The 4735-nt window shown below is 38.5% G+C and overlaps 1 pseudogene; it reads right to left on the bottom strand.

The window, feature by feature from the left end:
• Positions 1-1702: 1702 nt before the first annotated feature.
• Positions 1703-2994, bottom strand: TRIM60P15 (tripartite motif containing 60 pseudogene 15; annotated as a pseudogene).

Genomic DNA, 4735 nt, shown 5'->3' with positions numbered 1-4735 from the left:
GTTCTCTGATTTGGGACTTGTGCCATGGAATTAACAGGCCCACATCTGCTTTGGCCTAGGTGCTGAACTCTTTGGTTCTAGAACCAAATGTGAATCCTGGACTCTGGAATTCCAGTTGGGTTTCACAGGCCAGTGCCAGTGAAGTGAGGAGGCCCAGGTGGGCCCACAAAAGTGGCTGTAGGTGGGCTTACCACACAAGCCTGGTTACTTCTGTGCCTATACTCACAAGGAAGAGGAATTTTCTTCCTCAAGGCAAGCCCAGGGAGTTTTCAGGCAAGCCCAGGGAAGTCTGATGCTTATGGGAGCCAGTGAAGAAAAAAAGTGATGCCTCAGCCCAGCGCTTTTGGCCCTCCTGGCTTGTGGGTTTGGGGGCTCAATTTGCTCATCAGAAAAATGGGCAATGAAAGCCCCTCAGTGACTGGCTGCTCACCCCACTTTTACCAGGCCATTGCACAGTGCCCACACTGCAGCTCCAGGTATTGCCTGCGCTTCAAAAGGCTGGGAGATCTCTGGGCTGAGTACCGTGCCCTGAGAGGGTTCTCCCCTCATGCCTACCCCTCTGTGCCCACCTGACACCTCAGCATGTCTGCTGCATGCCACCTATATTGCCTGCTCTTGTCAAACCCATGTCTCCCCGGGTAGGCTAGGGGCACATTCTCATTGAAGCCCAGGTGGCCTGTCCATCCTTCCTCCAATGCACAGCCTCAGGCAGGTGCCACCCAGGTTTCCTCCTAGAATGTGATCTCAGGGTGTCACAGCAGCACATTCTGCTCTAACTTATGGACTAGATAATAATTCACTTAATGTGCTAAGATGGGTGTGGGCCTTTACACTTTTGATCTCCTTCCTCTAGTGGGGCTGCATTGGGGGTTGCCATTCTGATTTCTTTGTGGAAAAAGCTAGCTGGTGAGGCAGGACTCAAGGGCCAGGAACAGGACAGAGCACCTAGGCTGGCCTCCCCCGGGCCCTCTGAGGCCCCTGCAGGTGGGAGGACTCAGTGGAGTTCCTGTCCCCTTTTCTAGGATGGTGCCCGTAGCCCCTTCCTGGACATCCAAGAAGGGCCTACTCTTTCTGCAACCTGCACTCACTGGTCTCTAGGAGGTGAGCATTGATATATCTTTGTGGACATGGCCTTCTGTTTCATTTCCATTGGATATTCTCCTGGAAGAAATGCCTAGGGAATCCTGGGCCTGTGCTGGAGGTTCTCTAAGTGGCAAAGTCAGTAAGGGAGTCTCAAAAATATAATTAATAGTGTTTTCTTCACATTATTATCTCAGGGTTACTTTTGCCCAATAATGTGTAAAAGCAAAAATTATGATTTTTATCCTTTATGTTATTTTAATTAGGTCATTATAAAAACCTTTTATTTTCCTGAAATTTATTTCCATGACAATCATTGAATTTTTGTTTCCTTCTCTGTTCATCTTGTTGCCTGTTTTAGAGGCAAAATCTTAAAAAAAAGTGCTACAAAAATAATAACAGATGACAGCAATTTATTTAAAATGCAATTAGGTTTCTTAAATAAGTAAAAAATTTCAGTAAACTTATTTATATTACTTGTCTGATTATTTTACATCTTATCCTACATCTTAAAAAATTTTAGCTAGGCATGCAATTCAAAAATTGACAGATTTTTTAAATAGGCAACTTAAAAACATTTTATTGGATATGTTGGGTAACATAATACTCAAATACTTTATATTAGAAATCAACACACTTGACAATATTCATAGTATCTATGAAAGTGACATTATGAACATGCTTTTATAGTTGCAAAAAATTTAGGTGAAAAAAATTTATTCTGGTCTTCAGTAGTAAAACTTAAAGATTACAAGAATGAGATTAAATTTACTGACTAAATTACCCACAAGAACTGAAACAGATTCATTTACTTGTTCTTTATCTTTCAGTATCTGATAACAAAGAGACTTTACGACATTCAGAATGGGCTTCAGTATAGAAATAAGGCCAAACAGCTCTTGTAAAATAATCATTAAAATATACAGAACAAACCTATCATGTATATGATTTTTAAAAATCACCCAATGCATACTCCAAAAAAATGCCAATCTTACTGGGTTTTACTACTGGCAGAAGCCAGGTTGCCTTAGGACTTGATGCAACATAACCACTCTTTATGTATCACCCAATTGCCCAAAATCCACCCAGAACTGAAGGCTGATCCTGCCAGTTCCTAAGAAGACAGCCTTGACACACACACAATTTTCATTTAGGCTTGTTTCCCACTTCTACCTTCCAGGAATGTCTGCCAGAACTACCCAGGACCCCAGGGCAGAAATAAAATCTCCTTAGGTATAACAAAAGTTGAGTTTTGTTCTTCCATATCACACACCTTTTCTATCCTCAGAGACAATAAGTTGAGGATGTGCTGTGTCAACATCCAGAATCAAGGCTGGCTGTGCTGGCTCACACCTGTAATCCCAGCAATTTGGGAGGCTGAGGTGGGAGGATCGTGAGGTTAGGAGATCCAGACCATCCTGGCTAACATGGTGAAACGCTGTCTCTACTAAAAATACAAAAAATTAGCTGGGCATGGTGACAAGCCCCTGTAGTCCCAGCTACTTGGGAGGATGAGGCAGGAGAATTGCTTGAACCCAGGAAGAGGAGGTTGCAGTGAGCTGAGATCACACCACTGCACTCCAGCCTGGGCAGCAGAGGGAGTGTCCATCTCAAAAAAAACAAAAAAAAGATCTAGAATCAAATCTACTTGAAATGGCTTGATAATTCTGTCTAAGCCAGAATAGAGAGGAGGAAGACTAAAACCATATTTCATTAATCTAAATGAAAATAGTTCAGGGCATTTTAGGCTTTGATGCCTGTGGTGCATACTCTTCACATGTGCCAGCAATTCCAGGTTTGACTGAATAGACTTGCCTTCTACCTACCTCAGTAGATGTTTAAATGTAGAAACATAATCTGAAAATTTTACAAGGTTTGCACTTAGTTTTGGAAAAAGGTCCATCTCCTTGTTTCAATTATGAGAGTTAATTGTGCAGCATAGGTACAATTATGCTCTCTTCATATGCAGAATTAATGCCATTTCTTTATTATAGATATTTTCAATTTTTCACCTGACACCACAGGCTAATTTTAAAAAGAATATTTATTTCTAATTATGTAGCTTCTATTACATAGCCAGTATTGTCTCTGTTTACTTCATGTTTATGCCAAAAAGACCTCATGACTTATTAAATGTTCAACTGTTTACTTGAATAAATTGGCCCATTAAATTTAATAAACTAAATTATGCCGATTTTATAAAGCAAAATGAATAACAACTAAACAAAAATTGGATTAAATAGCATTCTTTAATGGAAACAAAATATAAAATATGCTAGAGAACATACAATACACACAGTGTTAAATTACTCGCATGTGAAACTTATTTTGTGCATACCATTAAATTTTATCAAAGTAACTTTCATAATCTCTGAGGGGATTATACAAAGAATTTTTTGTTTATTTGTTTGAGAAGGAGTTTTACTCTTGTTGCCCAGGCTGGAGTGCAATGGTGCGATCCTGGCTCACAGCAACCTCTGTCACCCAGGTTCAAGTGATTCTCCTGCCTCAGCCTTCCAAGTAACTGGGATTACAGGTGCCCACCACCACACCCAGCTAATTTTTGTATTTTTAGTAGAGATTATATGTCTACAGAGAGCAACAGGCAAACAGACAAACAACAACAACAAAAAAGGAGAATTTGCATAAGATGATTCTAAGCCAGGAGCAATAACATTTTAGATAAATGAGTTTAATACAAAGCAGAGAAAATAGATTTGCTTTCAAAATCTTTGAACTTTCTGGTTTGCTGGCAAGTTATCAACACTTGTAAAATTATCTATTTCATTCTAATATTTTTTTCTTCTCAAAGTAGGTACACAACCATAAACAAATATGATTATTCTTTATAATCATATTTAGGTTACACACCTAAAGTTTATTTTAGAGTGATATATCTGTATATTTAAATGCATATAAATCAAAACTAAAGGTCTGTATGTGTTTAGCAGACCAAAGAAGTCATATGTTTAACAGAAAAAAGTAGGATATTTTGTAAATAGTTGTTCAGAATTCAGAAACAAATAGCTCCATTATACTCATATAATCTTCATTACAACCATCATAATAACCTGGAGTTACAAGAAAAACAAAAATGTAAGTTGTAGGAGCCATATTTACCAAATTATTTTAAGATAAAGATCACTGACAAAGGAATCACTAGGGATGTTACTTCACTGTCACCCAATAGTGTATTGTTACCATCTGTTACCTACAACCTTGGGTAAGATGGGATAAGTTAATATCAGTGGCAAGGTACACATTCAAAGTAAAATAGCCTTAACACAATAACAACAATTTTGGTTTATTAAAACAAGTTTAGTCCACACATTGTCAATAAAAAGGCATTTTGAAATTCACTGTATTTTAATTGCCTTAATTTGCAAATGGTAAAGCAATTTCCTTCTAAAATTCAAATCATTTCTCTTGCCATGCAGAATATTATCCTGATCACTTACCACTCTCCTATCATCCTGTCACTTATGATACTGTTGTAAACCAACCACTAAGTGGCCTTTCCACTTAGAATATCTCCATGTATCTTAGATTTCAGTTTTCTTAATCTTCTGTGGGAAAGTATATAAATCTGTCCATCTAATATAGAAGAACCTCCCATAAATCTGGTGCAGTAACCATTGACCATGTTCTTTCACAT

This window comes from Homo sapiens, chromosome 8 (genome assembly GCF_000001405.40).
Source record: "Homo sapiens chromosome 8, GRCh38.p14 Primary Assembly".
NCBI lineage: Eukaryota > Metazoa > Chordata > Mammalia > Primates > Hominidae > Homo > Homo sapiens.
The sequence above is the reverse complement of the archived record's forward strand: the minus strand, read 5'-3'. Positions and strand labels throughout refer to the sequence as shown.